General features: G+C 38.3%; 1 protein-coding gene across 1 annotated transcript in view; it reads left to right on the top strand.

Moving 5' to 3' along the window:
* The window catches only part of INSL6 (insulin like 6), a 193,664-nt gene that overhangs the window by 22,076 nt on the left and 151,210 nt on the right, over positions 1–20,378 (top strand). The gene's annotated exons all lie outside the window — the stretch shown is intronic.

The following is a 20,378-nucleotide window of genomic DNA, read 5'->3' as shown; positions in this document are numbered from 1 at the left end:
CCATGACTGTTAGGCTTATACTTACTCCAAGATGTCGACCCATCTGTCCCACCAACTTAAAAATAACGAATCAACTACCATTCCTGGTAGAAGCCCTTGTGCTGTAATAGTAGTTACACTTCTAATTCCTTGAGTTTTATTATAGTAGTCAGTTTCTCTTCACAATTTCTACTGAGAACTTAAAAGAGAGTTTAGTGAATCTAAACTAAAATCTCTCCAAGATACCCTGTCTTTGCTTTGAAGGTACTGATATAATCTGAATCAACATAAATCTCAATGTTTGAGAAACCTGTAGAAAAGATTCTTAAAGCGTGGTCCCTTACCAAATCGGCAGCATCAGCATCACGTGGGAACTTGTTAGAAATGCAGTTCTAAAGTCTCACCTCAAACCTACTGAATCAGAAACTGTAGGTATGGGGGTCAGCAATCTGTGTTTAATAAGGCTTCTAGGCTATTCTGAAGTAGGTTAAAGATCAAGAACCACTAGTAATGGAGTTAATGTATGACTATTGTTGAAGTCCTACTGTTGAAGTGCTTGCATATCTCAACTCAATATAGATGTTACAATACTAAATTTTTGGTGTTTTTTTTCCTGTCCACACATGACATAATTTTAGTACTACAAATTAGAGCAAAACAGAACCCAGTGAACCCAAAATGGAATTCCTACTTCGTACCCATTAATTAGTTGATAAGCAACATTTGAGATCGTTCTCTAGTTTCTTTCTGAAATGTATACTATAATGTTCTTAAATGTTTTATTTCTATTTGGCTTTGTTAATTCTTAGAACAAAGGTTCTTTTCCACTTATATCTGTGTCATACATACTTTGCATTAATAAATATTTTTGAATGTTTTTAATCAGTTTCAGGGTACAGTCTGCATTCAGTTATCTGTAGATATAGGGAGCTACCCATGTAGATACAAAATGACAGATTATATTACGGTTCAGTGGTAGAGTAGGTCTGCTAAGCATTAGATGAAAATGCTCCATGTTGTCTATGCTTTGGCTAAAATACAGCCATGTACACGATCCAGTTTAAAAGGGTATAGGTCTGTACTTGTAGTTGAAGAATAAAGTGCAGCTTGTTAGCTTACTTATATACACACAACAAAAGTCCCAATTAGAAAATTATGATATTAACCAAGTGTGTTATTTGCATAGCTATATACTTCCCTACACATTTTTTAATAATTTGTATGTTAGATTGTATTTAATTTGCTTTTTGGTTTAATGTCAGCCTTTTAATATTTAAAATTGCACTAATGATGTGGTACATTTTGATAGAATAGTCACATTTATAGACTCCTTAGAGCAATCCCAAATTGAAAAAAAAAATCTGAGATACCTTGATATTAAGCAACATATTGAGGCTCCATGTTAAGTTACTTGTTAGTGGTAGAACTGGATCAAGATTTTAATCCTAACATCTTGCTCAGTACTACTGATGTCAATAAAATCTTAAGTAGAAATTATCCTTTTTTTTTTTTGAGGCAGGGTCTGTTGCCTAGGCTAGAATGCAGTAGTGTGATCACAGCTCACTACACCCTCAACCTCCTGGGCTCAAGTGATCCTCCCACCTCAGCCTCCTGAGTAGCCAGGACTACAGGTTCATACCACCTGGCTAATTTTTTATATTTTTTTTGTAGAGACAGAGTCTTGCTGTGTTGCCCAGGCTGGTCTCCGGGCTCCTGGCCTCAAGTGATCCTCCCACCTTGGCCTCCCAAAGTGCTGGGTTTACCTTCATAATTTCTTTTTCAGATTGTTTGCTCTTGGCACATAGAAGTGCTACTGAATTTTGTCTATTGATTTTGTATCCTGCAACTTTACCGAATTTGTTTATGAGTTCTAATCATTTTTTGGTGGAGTCCTTAAATTTTTCCAAATATAAGATCATAGCACCTGTAAATAAGGATGGTTTTACTCATTTCTTTCCAATTCGGTTGTCCTTTGTTTCTTTCTCTTGTCTGATTGCTCTAGCTTGGACCTCCAGTACTATGTTGAATAACAGTAGTGAAAGGGGACAACCTTGTCAGGTTCCAGATATTAAAGGAAAGTTTTTCAGTTTTTCCCTATTTCCTATTTCAGTATGATACTAGCTGTGGGTCTATCATATATGGCTTTCATTATGTTGAGGTATGTTCCTTCTATACTCAATTTTTTGAGGGGTTTTAGCATGAGAGGTTTTTATTTTTATCAAATGCTTTTTGAGCATCAGTTTAAATGGTCATATGGTTTTTGTCCTTCATTCTCTTGATAGATCACAATGATTGACTTGCAAATGTTGAACCGTTCTTGCATTCCTGGAATAAATACTCCTTGGTCATGATGAATGATTTTTTAATGTGTTGTTGCGTTTGGTTTACTAGTATTTTGTTGAGGATTTTTGCATCAGTGTTCATCAAAGATAATGGCCTGTAGTTTTCCTTTTTTGATGTGCCTTTGTTTAGTTTTGGTATCAGAGTAATATTGGTCTCATAGAATGAGTTTGGAAGTATTCCCTCCACGTCTACTTTTTGGATTAGTTTGAGTAGAGTTGGTATTAGTTTTTCTTTAAATGTTAAAATCAGCAGTGAAACTATCGGTCCTGAGCTTTTCTTTGCTTGGAGAGTTTTTATTATAGCTTCAATCTTATTACATGTTACTGGTCTATTCACAGGTTTTGGATTTCTTCATGTTTTAATCTTGGTAAGTTGTATGTGTATAGGAATTTATCCTTTTCTTGTAGGTCTTCCAGTTTTTTGGCATATAGTTGCTCATTGTAGCCTCTAATGATCCTTTTAATTTCTGCGTATCAGTTGTAATTTCTCCTTTTTATCTCTAATTTTATTTATTTGTGTCTTGTCACTTTTTATCTAAGTTAGTCTGGCTAACATTTTGTCAGTTTTGTTTGACTTCTAAAAACCAACTTTGTGTTTCGTTGATCTTTTGTATTCATTTCAATTCCATTTATTTATGCTATGATGTTTATTATTTATTTTCTTCTATTAACTTTGGGTTTGGCTTGCTCTTGCTTTTCTAGTTCTTTAAGGTGTATCATTAGGTTGTGTATTTAAAGTTTTGCCTTTCTGATGTAGGCACTTCACTTTTAGCTACATTCTTCTCTCTCAGTACTGCTTTCCCTGTATCGCATAGGTTTTGGTATGTTGTGTTTCCGTTATTTTTGTTTCTGGAAATTTTAAAGTTTTCTTCTTAATCTCTTCGTTGACCACTGGTCATTCAGGAGCATGTTGTTTAATTTCCATGTGTTTGTATAGTTTCCAAAATTCCTTTTGTTTTTGCTTTCTAGTTTTATTGTGGTCAGAAAAGATACATGATATTATTTCAATTTTTTGGAATGTTTTAAGATTTGTTTTGTGGCCTAACTTTTTTTTTTTTTTTTTTTTGAGACCGAGTTTTACTCTTGTTGCCCAGGCTGGAGTGCTATGGCGCTATCTCAGCTCACTGCAACCTCCATCCCCCGGGTTCAAGTGATTCTCCTGCCTCAGCCTCCTGAGTAGCTGGAATTACAGGCACCCACAACCACACCTGGCTAATTTTTGTATTTTTTTATAGAGATGGGGTTTCACCATGTTGGCCAGGTTGGTCTCAAACTCCTGACCTCAGGTGATCCACCCGCCCTGGCCTCCCAACCTGCTGGGATTACAGGCGGCGTGAGCCACCACACCTGGCCACATGTGGTCTATTCTCGAGGATGAGCCGCATGCTGAGGAGAGAAATGTATTCTGTAGCTGTTGGATGAAGTGTTCTGTAAATACCTATTAGGTCTGTTTGTTCTATAGTGCAGATTAAGTCCAATGTTTCTTTGTTGATTTTCTGTCTGGATGATCTGTTCAGTGCTGAAAGCAGGGTGTTGAAGTCTTGAGGTTTTAATGTATTGGGGTCTCTCTCATTAGCTCCAACAATGTTTGCTTTATACGTCTGGGTGCTCCAGCGTTGAATGCGTATATATTTACAATTGTTACATCTTTTTACTGAATTGACCCCTTTAATATTATATAATGATCTTCTCTCTTTTTATAGTTTTTGTCTTGAAACCTAATTTGTCTAATATAAGTAGAGTCACTCCTGCTTGTTTTTGGTTTCCATTGGCATGGAAAATCTTTTTCTATCCCTTTATTTTGAGTCTATGTATGTCTGTATACATGAAGCGTGTTTCTTGTAGGCAAGAGGTTGTTCGATCCTTTTTTTAAAAAAAAAAAATCCATTCTGACACTCTGTGTCTTTTAATTGGGGAGTTTAGTCCCCTCACATTCAATTTTGTTATTGACAAGTAAGGACTTATTCCTGCCATTTTGTTATATATTTTCTGGTTATTTTGTGATCTTCTCTGCCTTTTCTTTCTTCCTGTCTTCCTTTTAGGGAAGGTGATTTTCTTGGTTGGTATATTTTTATTTCTTGCTTTTTGATTTTTTGTGTATCTGTTGTATGTTTTTAGATTTTAGGTTACCATGAGGCTTGCAAATAATATCTTATAATCCATTACTTTAAAGTAATGACAATGTAATACTGATGCATAAACAAACAAGCAAAAAGAAAACTAATAACAATTCTACACTTTAACTTTGTCTCCTCATTAACTTTTTGTTGTGTCTATTTATATCATTATACTGTCTGTCTTGAAAAGTTCTTGTAGTCATTATTTTGATGATTTTATCTTTCATCTTTCTACATATGAGTAGTTTGTACACCATAGTAACAGTTATAATATTTTATTTTTTTTCTGTGTACCTACTATTACCAGTTAGTGTTGTATGTTCAGATGATTTCTTCCTGGTCATTAACATCCTTTTCTTTTAGGTTGAAGAATTAACATTTTTTGTGGGACAGATCTGGTGTTGATGCAGCTCCTCAGCATTTTTTCTTTTTTTCTTTCTTCCTTTTTTTGGCTGGGAAAGTATTTCTCCTTCATGTTTCTAGAATATTTTTGCTGGATATACTCTTGTAGGGCAAAAGATTTTTTTTCCTTTAACACTTTAAATATGTCATGCCACTCTCTCCTGGCCTGTAAGGTTTTCACTGAAAAGTCTGTTACCAGACATGTTGAAGTTCCATTGTATTAATATCTTGTTTGTTTCTTTTCTCTTGCTGCTTTTAGGACCCTTTCTTTATCCTTGACCTTTGGGAGTTTGATTATTAATTACCATGAGGCAGTCTTCTTTGGCTTAAATTCACTTGGGTGTTCTCTAACCTTCTTAAATTCACTTGGGTGTTCTCTAACCTTCTTGTACTTGAACACTGATACCTTTCTATAGGTTTGGGAAGTTCTCTGTTATTATCTCTTTGAAAAACATTCTAGACCACTCCCCCCACCCTTTCAAGGCGAAGAACTTTTAGATTTGCCCTTTTTGGGCTATTTTCTAGAGGCCGTAGGCATGGTTTATTTTTTTAATTCATTTTTCTTTTGTCTTCTCTGACTCTGTATTTTCAAATAGCCTGTCTTCAGTTTCACTAATTGTTTCTTCTGCTTGATCAAGTCTGCTATTAAGAGACTGATGCAATCTTCAGTATGTCAACTGCATTTTTCTACTCCAGAATTTCTGCTTTATTCTTTTTATTTCAATTTCTTTGTTAAATTTATTTGTTAGAATTCTGAATTTCTTTTCTGTTTTATTTTTAATTTATTTGGGTTTCCTTAAAACAGCTCTTTTGAATTCTCTATCTGAAAGGTCACATAACTCTATCCCTGTGGGATTGGCCCCTGGTACCTTATTTAGTTCCTTTGGTGAGCTCATGTGTTCCTGGGTAGTCTTGATGCTTGTGGATGTTCATTAGTATCTGAGCATTCAAGAGTGAGGTATTTATTGTAGTCTTCCCAGTCTGGGTTTATTTGTACCAGTCCGTCTTGGGAAGTCTTTCCAGTTATTTGAAGGAACTTGGGTGTTTCACTTAAATTTTAGCTTATTACAAATTTCTTAAGATTTTCCCCTACATTTTCTTCTGGAAGTTCTGTAATTTTAGCATTTATATTAGGTCTGTGATACATTTGAGTTCATTTTTCTGTGTGGTGAAAATGGAAGTCAGGGTCTTTTTTTTTCCTGCAAATTCCTAACTGGTAGTTCCAGCAAATTGATTGTAAAGGCTATGCCTTACAAAAATCAGTTGACTATATATATGAGTGGGTTTATTTCTGACAGTCTCTTTTTTTCCATTAATCTTTCCATTAATCATTATGCCAATACCATACTTTCTTGATTACTATAGATGTATATTACATCTTTAAATTAAATAGTGTAAGTTCTCCAACCATTTTGTTCTTTTCCAAAGTTGTATTGGCTATTGTTGAGCCTTTGTATTTTCATATAAATTTTAGAAACAGTTTACTATTTTTTACAACACTTTTTGGGGATTTTGATAAGGATGGCATTGAATCTACAGATCAATTTGAGGAGAATTGAGCCTTCAGATCCATGAACATGGTATTATATATTTTCCATTTTTGCAGGTCTTCTTTAATTTCAGCAATATTTTGTAGTTTTAATGTACAGTTATAATACATATGTTGTTAAATGTACCTCTAAGCATTTTATTATTTTATTTTATTTTTTGAAACAGTCTTGTTCTGTCACCCAGGCTGGAGTGCAGTGTCGCAGTCTCAGCTCACTGCAACCTCTGCCTCTCAGGTTCAAGAAATTCTCCTGCCTTTAAGTATTTTATTTTTTTAATGCTATTGTAAATGGTATTTTAAAAATTTAATGTTTTCATTGTTGCTAGTATGTGTTTGTATCCTGTAACATTGTAAATTCACTTATTCTTGTAACTTGTTAATATTTCATTAGATTGCTTGGGATTTTCTTTATAAACAGTCCTGTTATTGTGGATAGAGACTTTTATTTTTTCTTTTCCAATATAATGTCTTTAATTTCTTTTTATTGACTCATTGCATTGCCTAGGACTTCCAGTGCAACATTAACTAGAGAATGCAATATTAACTAGGCAAAGTTTTAGGATTTTTGTAGATACATTTTATCTAGCTGAAAAAGTTTCCTTTTATATTCTGTTTGCTGAGAATTTTTTTTTAATCATGAGTAGGTGTTGAATGTTGTCCAATGCTTTTTCTGCATATATGGAAATCCCTGTAGGGGGCTTTCTTCTTTATTCTGATCATTTGAGGAATCCAGATATGTTTGCTAATAGGAATGGGGTTTTGCATCAATAGCCATAGAGATATTCATTTACAGTTTTATGTCTTTATCTGGTTCTGATATCAGAGTAATGGGGGCCTGCTAAAGTGAGCTGTGAAGTGTTGCCTCCTTTATTTTCATAAAGAATCTGTTTAGGATTATATGATTTATTTCTTGCTTGCTGAAATTCACCAATAAAGTTATTTTGGCTTGCAGGTTTTAATTACAAATTAAATTTTTGAAAAGTTATAGATCTACTTAGATTTTCTGTATCTTAAGTTCATTTGGCCTTTTTTTCCTTTTAAGAAATTTGTCAATTGCATGAAAGTTCTTAGTCATATTTATTGGCATAAAGTTTTTCATCATATTCCCTGACCATCCTTTAAATGTCTATAGGATCTGTATAAATGCTAATCCTTTTTTTATTACTGATTTTGATAATGTGTGGTTTTTCTTTTTTACTCTTGATTATTCTAGCTGAGGTTTACAAATGTATTGGTCTTTTTTTTTCTTTTTTTAAATTATACTTTAAGTTCTAGGGTACATGTGCAGAACATGCAGGTTTGTTACATTGGTATACACGTGCCATGGTGGTTTGCTGCACCCATAAACCCATCATCTATATTAGGTATTTCTCCTAATGCAATCCCTCCCCTATCCCCCCACCCCCAAACAGGCCCCGGTGTGTGATGTTCCCCTCCCTGTGTCCATGTGTTCTCATTGTTCAACTCCCACTTATGAGTGAGAACATGCGGTGTTTGGTTTTCTGTTCTTGTGTTAGTTTGCTGAGAATGATGGTTTCCAGTGTCATTCATGTCCCTGCAAAGGACTTGAACTCACCCTTTTTTATGGCTGCATAGTATTCCATGGTGTATATCTGCCACATTTTCTTTTTTCTTTTTTTTTTTTATTTAGTAGTTCTATGTATTTATTCTGCTAGGTACCTCCAGGTTTTTTTTTTAAATTATACTTTAAGTTTTAGGGTACATGTGCATAACGTGCAGGTTTGTTACATATGTATACATGTGCCATGTTGGTGTGCTGCACCCATTAACTCATCATTTAACATTAGGTATATCTCCTAATGCTATCCCTCCCCCCTCCCCCAACCCTGCAACAGGCCCCAGTGTGTGATGTTCCCCTTCCAATGTCCATGTGTTCTCATTGTTCAATTCCCGCCTAGGAGTGAGAACATGCAGTGTTTGGTTTTTTGTCCTTGGGATACTTTGCTGAGAATGATGGTTTCCAGCTTCATCCATGTCCCTACAAAGGACATGAACTCATCATTTTTTATGGCTGCATAGTAGTCCATGGTGTATATGTGCCACATTTTCTTAATCCAGTCTATCATTGTTGGACATTTGGCTTGGTTCCAAGTCTTTGCTATTGTGAATAGTGCCGCAATAAACATACGTGTGCATGTGTCTTTATAGCAGCATGATTTATAGTCCTTTGGGTATATACCCAGTAATGGGATGGCTGGGTCAAATGGTATTTCTAGTTCTGGATCCCTGAGGAATCGCCACACTGACTTCCACAATGGTTGAACTAGTTTACAGTCCCACCAACAGTGTAAAAGTGTTCCTGTTTCTCCACATCCTCTCCAGCACCTGTTGTTTCCTGACTTTTGAATGATTGCCATTCTAACTGGTGTGTGATGGTATCTCATTGTGGTTTTGATTTGCATTTCTCTGATGGCCAGTGGTGATGAGCATTTTTTCATGTGTCTTTTGGCTGCATAAATGTCTTCTTTTGAGAAGTGTCTGTTCATATCCTTCGTCCAGTTGTTGATGGGGTTCTTTGCTTTTTTTCTTGTAAATTTGTTTGAGTTCATCGTAGATTCTGGATATTAGCCCTTTGTCAGATGAGTAGATTGCAAAAATTTTCTCCCATTCTATAGGTTGCCTGTTCACTCTGATGGTAGTTTCTTTTGCTGTGCAGAAGCTCTTTAGTTTAATGAGATCCCATTTGTCAATTTTGGCTTTTGTTGCCATTGCTTTTGGTGTTTTAGACATGAAGTCCTTGCCCATGCCTATGTCCTGAATGGTATTGCCTAGGTTTTCTTCTACAGTTTTTATGGTTTTAGGTCTAACATTTAAGTCTTTAATCCATCTTGAATTAATTTTTGTATAAGGTGTAAGGAAGGGATACAGCTTCAGCTTTCTGCAAATGACTAGCCTGTTTTCCCAACACCATTTATTAAATAAGGAATCCTTTCCCCATTTCTTGTTTTTGTCAGGTTTGTCAAAGATCAGATGGTTGTAGATGTGTGGTATTATTTCTGAGGCTTCTGTTCTGTTCCATTGGTCTGTATCTCTGTTTTGGTACCACTACCATGCTGTTTCTGTTACTGTAGCTTTGTAGTATAGTTTGAAGTTAGGTAGTGTGATGCCTCCAGCTTTGTTCTTTGTGCATAGGATTGTCTTGGCTATGCAGGCTCTTTTTTGGTTCCACATGAGATTTAAAGTAGTTTTTTCCAATTCTCTGAAGAAAGTCAAAGGTAGCTTGATGGTGATAGCATTGAATCTATAAATTACTTTGGGCAGTATGGCCATTTTGACGATATTGATTCTTTCTATCCATGAGCATGGAATGTTTTTCCATTTGTTTGTGTCCTCTCTTATTTCCTTGAGCAGTGGTTTGTAGTTCTCCTTGAAGAGGTCCTCCACATCCCTCGTAAGTTGTATTCCTAGGTATTACATTCTCTTAGTAGCAGTTGTGAATGGGACTTCACTCATGATTTGGCTCTCTGTCTGTTATTGGTGTATAAGAATGCTTGTGACTTTTGCACATTGATTTTGTATCCTGAGACTTTGCTGAAGTTGCTTACAGCTTAAGGAGATTTTGGGCTGAGACGATGGGGTTTTCTAAATATACAATCATGTCATCTGCAAACAGACAATTTGACTTCCTCTTTTCCTAATTGAATACCTTTTATTTCTTTCTCTTGCCTGAGGCAGTCTTTCCACGGTGGCCTTGCTGAGCTGGCGTGGGCTCCACCCTGTTCAAACTTCCCAGTGGCTTTGTTTACACCGTGAGGGTGAAACCACCTACTCAAGCCTCAGCAATGGCGGATGCTCCTCCGTGCACCAAGTTCGAGTGTCCCAAGTGGGGCTTAGACTGCTGTGCTGGCACGAGAATTTCAAGCCAGTGGATTTTAGCTTGTTGGGCTCCGTGGGGGTGGGACCCACAGAGCCAGACTACTTGGCTCCCTGGCTTCAGCCCCCTTTTCAGGGGAGTGAACGGTTCTGTCTCACTGACATTCCAGGCGCCACTGGGGTATGAAAAAAAAAAAAACTGCAGCTAGCTCAGTGTCTGCCCAAACAGCTGGCCAGTTTTGTGCTGGAAACCCTGGGCCCTGGTGGTGTAGGCACTGGAAGGAATCTCCTGGTCTGCGGATTGCGAGGACCATGGGAAAAGTGCAGTATCTGGGCTGGAGTGCAGGGTACAGTCCCTAATGGCTTCGCTTGACTTGGAGAGGGAGTTCCCTGACCCCTTGTGCTTCCCGGGTGAGGCGACGCTCCACTGTGCTTCAGCTCGCCCTCCTTGGGCTGCACCCACTCTCTAACCAGTCCCAATGAGATGAATGTGGTACCTTAGTTGGAAATGCAGAAATCACCTGCCTTCTGCGTCGATCTTGCTGGTAGCTGCCGACTGGAGCTGTTCCTGTTTGGCCATCTCACCAGCAACTCTTGGTCTTTTCAGATCATCACCTTTTGCCTTTACTGATATTCTCCATTTCCTTTTTCTCGTTTGTTGTTTTATGCTTCTAGCTTTATTATTTCCTCCTGATTATCAAGTTAATAGTCTTATTAAGGCTGTTTTCTAGTTTCTGAAATTACTGGTTTTAGACGCTTCTTTTTAAATAGAAGCATCTAAAGCTATAAATTTCACTGTACTCACAGCTTTAAGTTTACATGTCATTTTCATTTTCATTCATTAGAGAATATTTTCCATTTTTTCTTGTGATTTTTCTTGACCCATGGGTTATATAGGTTTGTTTTAAAATTGCTAATGTTTCAGTATTTACTAGATATCTTTCTTATATTAATTTCTAATTTAATATGTTGTTGACAATATTTTAAAATTTCTTGAGAATTGTTTTATGTTCCATAAATAATAATTTGTGGTAATTATTCCATGTGTGCATGAAACAAACGTGTATTCTGCTATTTTTTGATGGAATATTCTGTAGATGTTAGGTAAAGTTAGTTGACAGTGTTATTCATTGTTCTATGTCTTTACTGATCTTGCTTTCTTGTTCTCTCAGTTAGTGAGATAAAAGTGTTGAAATCTCTGTAATAATGGATTTGCCTATTTGCCTTCTCAGGTCATTTATATTTTTTTCATGCATTCGTTCTTAATGTATTTCAAAATTATTTTGCTAGCTGCATATCATTTTTTTGGTAAATTGATTCTTGTGTCATTATATTTCCTTTTATCACTGCTAATATTCCAGCTTTCTTATAATTAGTGTTTCCATCATATATCATTTTCCCAATCTTTTATTTTTAACCTATCTGTATCTTCATGTGTAAAATTAGTTTCTTGTAAACAACGTGTCATTGGTTCTTGCTTTTTCATCAAGTTCACAGTGTATGCTTTTCATTTGGAGTGTTTAATATTTTATTGATGTAATTATCAATATGATTTGTGTTTAAATATACAATCTTGCTTTTTTATGTGTTCCATCTGATCTGTTGCATTTTGTCCTTTTTTGCATTCTATTGGGTTGAATTTTTTTATAATTACATTTTGTTTCTCCTATTGGTTATTTATTTATCTTTAAACTTTCGTTTTTGGTGATTGCTTCAGCATTTACAATATACATCTTTATATCACGGACTAACTTCAAATAATGAGATCTCACTTCACAGGCAGTTTAAGACCTTTACAATAGTATACTTCAATTTTCTTTCCATCCCCACCCCCCGTCCATTTTTTTCTGGTGTTTGTGCCATACATTTTACTGCTGCATGCATTATAAACCACACAAACATTTTTATTACTTTGTTTTAATCAATTGTCTTTTTATTTATATACTTTTAATGAGATTATTGCCATGTACACGCATTATTTTCTTATTTTTCATTCTTCCAAAGGAAAATATTTATTCTAATATCAGATTTTTCCTGCAGTGTCTTTTTCATGCTTTTCTACTTATACAGTCATTTTTGCTTTGAATGTTGAATCTATGTAATTGTTAATATTGATTTGGGGGTATAAGTGCAGATTTGTTACATGGATATATTGCATAGTGGTGAAGTCTGGGCCTTTGGTATCACCATCACATGAATAGTGTACACTGTACCCATTAGTTAATTTCTCATCATCCACCTCCACCCCCTCCTCTTTCACAGTTCTGCATTTCCATTGTCTGTCATTCCATACTTTACAACCATGTGTGTACATTATTTAGGTCCCACTTTTAGGTGAGAACAGGCAGCATCTAACTTTCTGTTTCTTAGTTATTTTATATAAGATAATAGCCTCCAGTTCCACCCATGTTGCTGCAAAATACATTTTATTCTTTTTATGGCTGGGTAGTATTCCATGATGTGTGTGTGTGTGTGTGTGTGTGTGTGTGTGTGTCTCCTTTATCCAGTCATCTGTTGATGGATACTTAGGTTGATTTCCTATCTTTGCCTTTGTGAAGAGTGGTCCTTTAAACATGCAAATACAGGTATCTTTTTGCTATAATGATTTCCTTTAGGTAGACATGCAGTAGTGAGTTTGCTGGATTAAATAGTAGTTGTATTTTTAGTTTTCTGGGAAGTCTTCATACTATTTTACATAGAGGTTGTACTAACTTACATTCCAAAATAATAAGTGTTCTCTTTTCTCCACATCCTCGTCAATATCTGTTATTTGTTGACGATTTAATAATGGCCATTCTGACTAGTGTAAGATGTCATCTTATTGTAGTTTCAACTTGTTTTTCTCTGAACATCAGTGATGTTGAGCATTTTTTCATATGCGTATTGACCATTAAAAATGTTCATGTCCTTTGCACAATTTTTAATGGGATTATTTGTTTTATCCTTGTTGAATTGTTTGAGTTCCTTGTAGATTCTGGATATTAGTCTTTTATCAGATTCATAGCTTGCAAATATTTTTCCCATTCTGTAGGTTGTATGTTTGTTGATTATTTCTTTTGCTGTGCAGAGGCTTTCTAGTTTATAACTATGTCTTATTTGTATTTTGTTGTTTCTGCTGCATTTGCTTTCAAGGACTTAGTCATGAATTCTTTGATTAAACCTATGTCCAGAAAAGTTTTTCTGAGATTTTCTTCTAGAATGTTTATAGTTTCAGTTCTGACATTTAAATCTTTAATTTATCTTGAGTTAATTTTTGTATTTGGTGAGAGAGATGAGTCCAGATTGATTCTTCTGCACAGGGCTATCCAATTTTCCTAGCACCATTTTTAAACTAGACTGATCTTTCCCCATTGTATGCTTTTGTCAACGTTGTTAGAGATCAGTTGGCTGTAGGTATGTGGCTTTATTTCAGGGTTCTCTATTATGTTCTGCTGATCTATGTGTCTGTTTTTATATGAGTAGCCTGTTGCTTTGGTTATTATAGCCTTGTAATATAATTTGAAGTCACATAATGTGATACCTCCAGCTTTTAAATTTTTATTTTATTGTTTGCTTAAGATTGCTTTGGCCACATGGGCTCTTTTTGGTTCCTTGTGAATTTTAGGATTTTTTTTTCTAATTCTGTGAAAAAATGACATTGCTATTTTGATAGGAATTGTATTTAATCTGTATATTGCTTTGGGCAATATGGTCATTTTAAAGATATTTCAGTCCATGAGCATCAGCCGTTTTTCCATTTGTTTGTGTCATCTATAATTTCTTTCATCACTGCATTGTAGATTTCCTTATAGAGATCTTTCATATCCTTAGTTAACTGTATTTGTAGGTATTTTTCTTTGTAGCTATTGCAAATAGGATTGCCTTCTTGATTTGGTTTTCAGCTTGATCATTATTGGTGTATAGAAATGCTGCTGAGATCATGGTGGGTAGGAAGGTAAGCAAGATGGCTGAGTAGATGCAGCTGTGAAAAGTCATTTACACAGAGACTACACCAACAAAATTTGAACAGATCTTCAGAAAGAAAACACTGAAGGTGAATAGAAAAAAGATACAGTTGCTGAGGCTGAAAAGGGAGGGAGCTGGGAATCCCGTTTGGGGTGCCTAAATGCTATGGCTGGTTCCTGGCCCCAAAAGGCACTCTCGCCATGTACCTCTAGGATCTTAGCTGCTACAGGGGACCCCACACTCCCACAGATGTGTGAAGTGGCAGGGGGATCTCCCCAGAGATTCGACAGAGATGGAGTTAAAGCAAGCTCAGAGCTAGGGACCTTTGACTTTGGGGCAGCTCTGGCAGAGACTGGCCATAAGTGCCTACTCCTCAAGGCTGCCTGTCTCCCTCTGAGAGACTCTGGCCCCAGCTAACTGCTGGGGAGAGAACAGGGCCTGCAGCATGTCTGTTTTGCAGGCCAGCTTGCCCACCAGCACCTCCCAGGGTCCCTGCCAGGCTGCCCTGTAGGAGTATGTAGTGTAATCAGTGAAGCCTCTGATGCACAGCCTGGTGCCTTGCTCTACCTGAGTACATTCTGACAGCCTGGGAAACCTTTGGATCTCCCACCACACCAGGAACCCAACCCCAAATGTCTGGAAAAGGGAGCCACGAGCAGGTCCTGGTGCCCCAGGGCTGCAGTCTGCAGCTCAGGAGTGCCAAGCCAGGAACTGCTGGACACTTGAATTGGGAAGGAGCCCACACTCTCAGGAAACAGATGAGTTGCACAGGCTTGCAGGCTGGTATGGGGCCTAGGTGTACCTCCTTCCACAGGGCTGGTCCTGTAAGGGTATGGCCTATTTCCCTAACTGGCCTCTCCCCAAGGGAGCCCTGTGGCCCCGAAATACCTAATAATATTGACAGCAAAATTGTGAGCACAGTGCCAGTGATCAGAGATGGCTCCCCCAAAGTCCATGAGCCGACCGGGTGAGGGGGGTCACCTCTCTCTCCCTCACATGGCAGAATACAGCTGCAAAAGCCAGGAACTTGGTAACTAAGAACCTACTGCTCTCAAGCACCATCTCCTGGATCACAGCCGAAACTATAACACCAAAAATCATTAATTCTCCTCTCTACGTAACCATGTGCAAAAATTCAACAAAGACCCTGTACTGACCCTTAGTCCTGTGAAAACTTCCAGAAATGAAGTCAGTGGACTATACTCAGTTTATACCACAATTGAAGGAATACCAGCTCTCCCAGATGAGAAAGAATCAGCATAAAAACTCTGACAATTAAAAAATAGTATCCCCTTAACCTCCAAAGGAGCCTGTTAGCTCACTAGCAGTGAGTTCTTAACCAGTCTGAATTGTCTGAAATGGCAGATATGGAATTCAGAATCTGGATGGCAAGGAAGCTCATCAAGATTGAGAAAATTGAAAATCCAAGGAAGCCAAGGCATCCAGTAAAACAATTTAAGAGCTGAAAGGCAAAACACCCATTTTAAGAAAGACTCAAACTGAACTTATTGAGGAGAAAAGTTCACTACAGGAATTTCATAATACAATCAGAAGTATTAATGGAAGAACACACCAACCCGAGGAAAGAATCTCAGAGCTCAGAGACCAGTTTTTCAAATCAACGCAGTCAAAAATAAAGAATTAAAAATGAACAAAACATCCAAGAAATATGGGATTATGTAAAGAAACTAAATTTACAACTCATCAGCATTCCTGAGAGAGAAAGAGAATAAGAAACTTGGAAAATATATTTGAAGATGGTCTATTCAAATTTCCCCAGTCTCATTAGAGAGATTGACATATAAATCCAAGAAATACAGAGAACTCCAGCAAGAAACCCCATTCCGAAATCTCCTTACCAGGCAGTCTTCCAGGCCTGGGCCTCTAGCTACTCCCTGCCAGAGCTATCAAGCCAGTAGCAACTTGGCAACTCCCTGGACAGAGCCTCCAGGGGCAACTGAAAGTTCTCTGCCATTGCCTCTGCAGCAGAACCTTCCTTGCTACCCTTGGAATAACAAAGGAGCAAAAACCCTAAGCACCTTATCCACACCTCCAGCAAGCTGCAGTCGACCCAAGGAGAGGAGTCCAGACTGTCTCCTGTGGGCCCCACATATCCCCCACTGCTTGTCATCAAACAGGGAACCCCCTGGTTTAGTTCCACAGCACAGACCCTCCATCCTGGGCTGATTGCACTGAGAAATTGTTGACCCACATCACTCTGGGGTAGAGCCCCCAGGAGACAAGCAGAGTGGTAGAGCAGCAACTAACTGATGTGCTGCAGGAGCATCTGTAGCAGAATGTGGCCAGAGATGACCACCCCTCTAGGCTTGGCTTGCTCCCATAAGAGACTTTAGTTCTAGGGAAACTGTTGGACCTGGTCTCTGAAGGGTAATCTTGCACATCAGATAGGGCTGGTCCTACCTGAACGCTCCTTGCTGTTGGCCTTTCCTGGGGCCCCATCCTGGTCATGCTTGCTAACAGGGAAGTCTCAGGTGCCCTGAGGCCCACACCATAGCTTTTGCACCAGTGGACCATGCCTGACTGGTGGAAAGCTCCAATGAGGCAGCCCCTATGGCTGTGTACCAGCCCACACATTTCATCCCCATACTGAAGCTTCCCCCAAACCCACACAACTGCCTACATTGCTTTGCTGGCACATGTCTGCATAGGCAGGTTTTGCTTTACTTGCCCCACCAGCACACAGGAGTACAGTATTCCTCTCAACCCCTGTTGACTGCCGTTGCAGATGGAGCCTTGGTGGGCACAGAGTCAGCAAGCCTCACCCCCACCAGTGCTCCACCCTTGTGTTAATGCTGCACAGAGAACAGGGTATCCTCCCACACCCTGAGTGATCACTCCTGCTTATGGGGCACAGAGAAGGCCACCCACACCTGTGCTATCCAGCACCCCACCCCAAACCAACACTACTTCCAGTGCAGCAGTGCACACAGTCTCCAGGAGGGGCCCCCTGCTCCTCACCAATGCCTTGCTCCCACTGCTGTGGTGAATGCCTGCAGGGAGGCAGGCACCCCTGAATCCACTAGCACTCCGATGCAGCTGCCACACCTTGGTCTACCCAGCACAGTAGACTCCAAACATTGAGGAGCCAGAGAACAATGTTGGGGCCCAATTCAAGTCTCTCAGAGCACACAGTCCAGGATTTGGGAGCTGAATACTGGCCCCCTAAAATCTTCAAGAAACAAGGCCAATTCGCTGAGTTCACTTTATACCACAATCAAACACTCAAGGTCATCAAAAAGGATAAAAGAAAAAAAAAACCCAAAGGTTAACAACCTCAAAGATTGAAAGTAGATAAGCCCACAAAGATGAGAAAGAATCAGCACAAGAATGCGAACACTCAAAAAGCCAGAGTACCTTCTTTCCTCCAAATGACCACATCACTTCTCCAGCAAGAGTTAAGGACTTGATTGAGGCTGAGATGGCTGAAATGACAGAAGTAGAATTCAGAATATGGATAGGAATGAAGTTCACTGAGCCACAGGAGTATATTGTAACCCAATGCAAGGAAGCTAAAAATCATAATAAAAAGAGCTGAAAGACAAAATAGCCAGTCTAGAAAAGAATGTAACCGGCCTGATAGAGCTGAAAACTACACTACAATAATTTCATAATGCAATCCCAAGTATTAATAGACCAAACAGAGGAAAGAACCTCAGAGCCTGAAGACTGCCTTTCTTAAATAAGGCAGGTAGACAAGAATAGAGAAAAAAGAGTGAAAAGGAATAAACAAACCTTCCAAGAAATATGGGATTGTGTAAAGAGACCCAGCCTGCAACTGATTGGTATATCTGAAAGAGCTGGGAAGAGTGGAACCAACTTGGAAAACATATTTCAGGATATCATCCATGAGAACTTTCCCAACCTAGCAAGACAGGCAAACGTTCAAATTCAGGAAATGCAGACAACCCCAGTAAGATACTCCACAAGAAGATCAACCCCAGGATGCTTAATCATCAGAATCTCCAAGGTCAAAATGAAGGAAAAATATTAAAGGCAGCTAGAGAGAAAGGCCAGGTCACCTATAAAGGGAAGTCTGTCTTACTATCAGTGGACCTCTCAGTGGAAACCCTCCAAGCCAGAAGAGATAGGGGGTCAGTATTAAACATTCTTAAGAAATTCCAACCCAGAATTTCATATCTGGCCAAGCTAAGCTTCATAAGTGAACGAGAAATAAGACCCTTTTCAGACAAGTAAATGCTGAGGGAATTTGTTACCACTAGACCTGCCTTACAAAAGCTCTTGAAGGAGGGACTAAATATGGAAAGGAAAGACCAGTACCAACCACTACAAAAACACATTGAAGTATACAGACCAGTAATACTATGAAGCAATCACATAAACAAGTCTGCAAAATAACCAGCCAGCATTATAATGACAGGATCAAATCCACACATAACAATACTAACTTTAAATATAAATGGGCTAAATGCCCCCAAAGACACAGAGTGGCAAGCTGGATAAAGAACCAAGACCCATTGGTATGCTATCTTCAAGAGACCCATCTCACATGCAAAGACACAAATAGGCTGAAAATAAAGGTATGGAGAAAAATCTACCAAGGAAATGGAAAACAAAAATTAGTGGTTGCAATCTTAGTTACTGACAAAACAGACTTTAAACCAACAAAGATTTAAAAAGACAGGGGTATTACATAATGGTAAAGGGTTCAATTCAACAAGAAAATGGAACTATCCTAAATATGTTTGCACCCAACACAGGAACACCCTCATAAAGCAAATTCTTGGAGACTTTCAAAGAGACTTAGACCGCCACACAATAATAGGAGACTTTAACACCCCACTGACAATATTAGATCATCAAGACAGAAAATTAACAAAGATATACAGGACCTGAACTCAGCACCGGATCAAATGGATCCTCATAGATACCCCGAAACAACAGAATATACATTCATCTCATCACCACTTGGCATACTCTAAAAGCAATTACGTAATCAGAAGTAAAACACTCTTGAGCAAATACAAAAGAACTGAAATCATACAAACGGTCTCTCGTACCACAGTGCCATAAAATTCGAAATCACTACTAAGAAATTCACTCAAAGCCATACAATTACATGGAAATTGAATAACCTGCTCCTGAATGGCTTTTGGGTAAATAATGAAATGAAGGAGAAATCAGGACATTCTTTGCAACTAATGAGAAGAAAGATAACAACATATCAGAATCTCTGGGACACAGCTAAGGCAGTATTAAAAGGGAAGTTTGTAGCACTAAATGCCCACATCAAAAAGTTAGAAAGATCTCAAGTTAACAACCTAACATCACAACTAAAATAACTGGAGAACCAAGAGCAAACAAATTCCAAAGCTAGCAGAAGACAAGAAATAACCAAAATCAGAGCTAAACTGAAGGAGATACAGACAGGAAAAATGATTCGAAAGATCAACCAATTGGCCAGTGCAGTGGCTTACGCCTGTAATCCCAGCACTTTGGGAGGCTGAGGCGGGTGTATTACCTGAGGTCAGGAGTTCGAGACCAGCATGGCCAACATGGTGAAACCCTGTCTCTACTACAAATACAAAAATTAGCAGGGTGTGGGGGTGGGTGCCTGTAATCCCAGCTACTTGGAAGGCTAAGGCAGGAGAATCGCTTGAACCCAGCAGGTGGAGGTTGTAGTGAGCTGAGATCATGCCACTGCACTCCAGCCTGGGCAACAGAGTGAGACTTCATCTGAAAAAAAAAAAAAAGATTAACAAATCCAGGATCCAGGAGCTGTTTATTTGAAAAAACTAATAAAATAGATAGACCAGTAGCTAGACTAAAAAAGAAGCAAAGAGAGAAAATTCAAATATGCACTATCAGAAATGACAGGGGGGTTATTACCACTGACCCCACAGAAATACAGACAACCATCAGATAATATTATGAACACCTCTATGGAAATCAACTGGAAAACATAGAAGAAATGGATAAATTCCTGGATACATACCCCCTCCCTAGACTGAACAAGGAAGAAATTGAATCCCTGAATAGACCACTAACAAGCTCTGAAGTTGAAGCATTAAGAGCCTGCAACCAAAAAAGGCCCAGGACCAGACGGATTCACAGCTGAATTATACGAGATGTATAAAGAAGAGCTGGTACCATTCCTACTGAAACTATTAAAAAAAAAAAATTGAGGAGAAGGAACTCCTCTGTAACTCATTCTATGAGGTCAGCATCATC

Source organism: Homo sapiens, chromosome 9, assembly GCF_000001405.40.
Source record: "Homo sapiens chromosome 9, GRCh38.p14 Primary Assembly".
Taxonomy (NCBI): domain Eukaryota; kingdom Metazoa; phylum Chordata; class Mammalia; order Primates; family Hominidae; genus Homo; species Homo sapiens.
The sequence above is the reverse complement of the archived record's forward strand: the minus strand, read 5'-3'. Positions and strand labels throughout refer to the sequence as shown.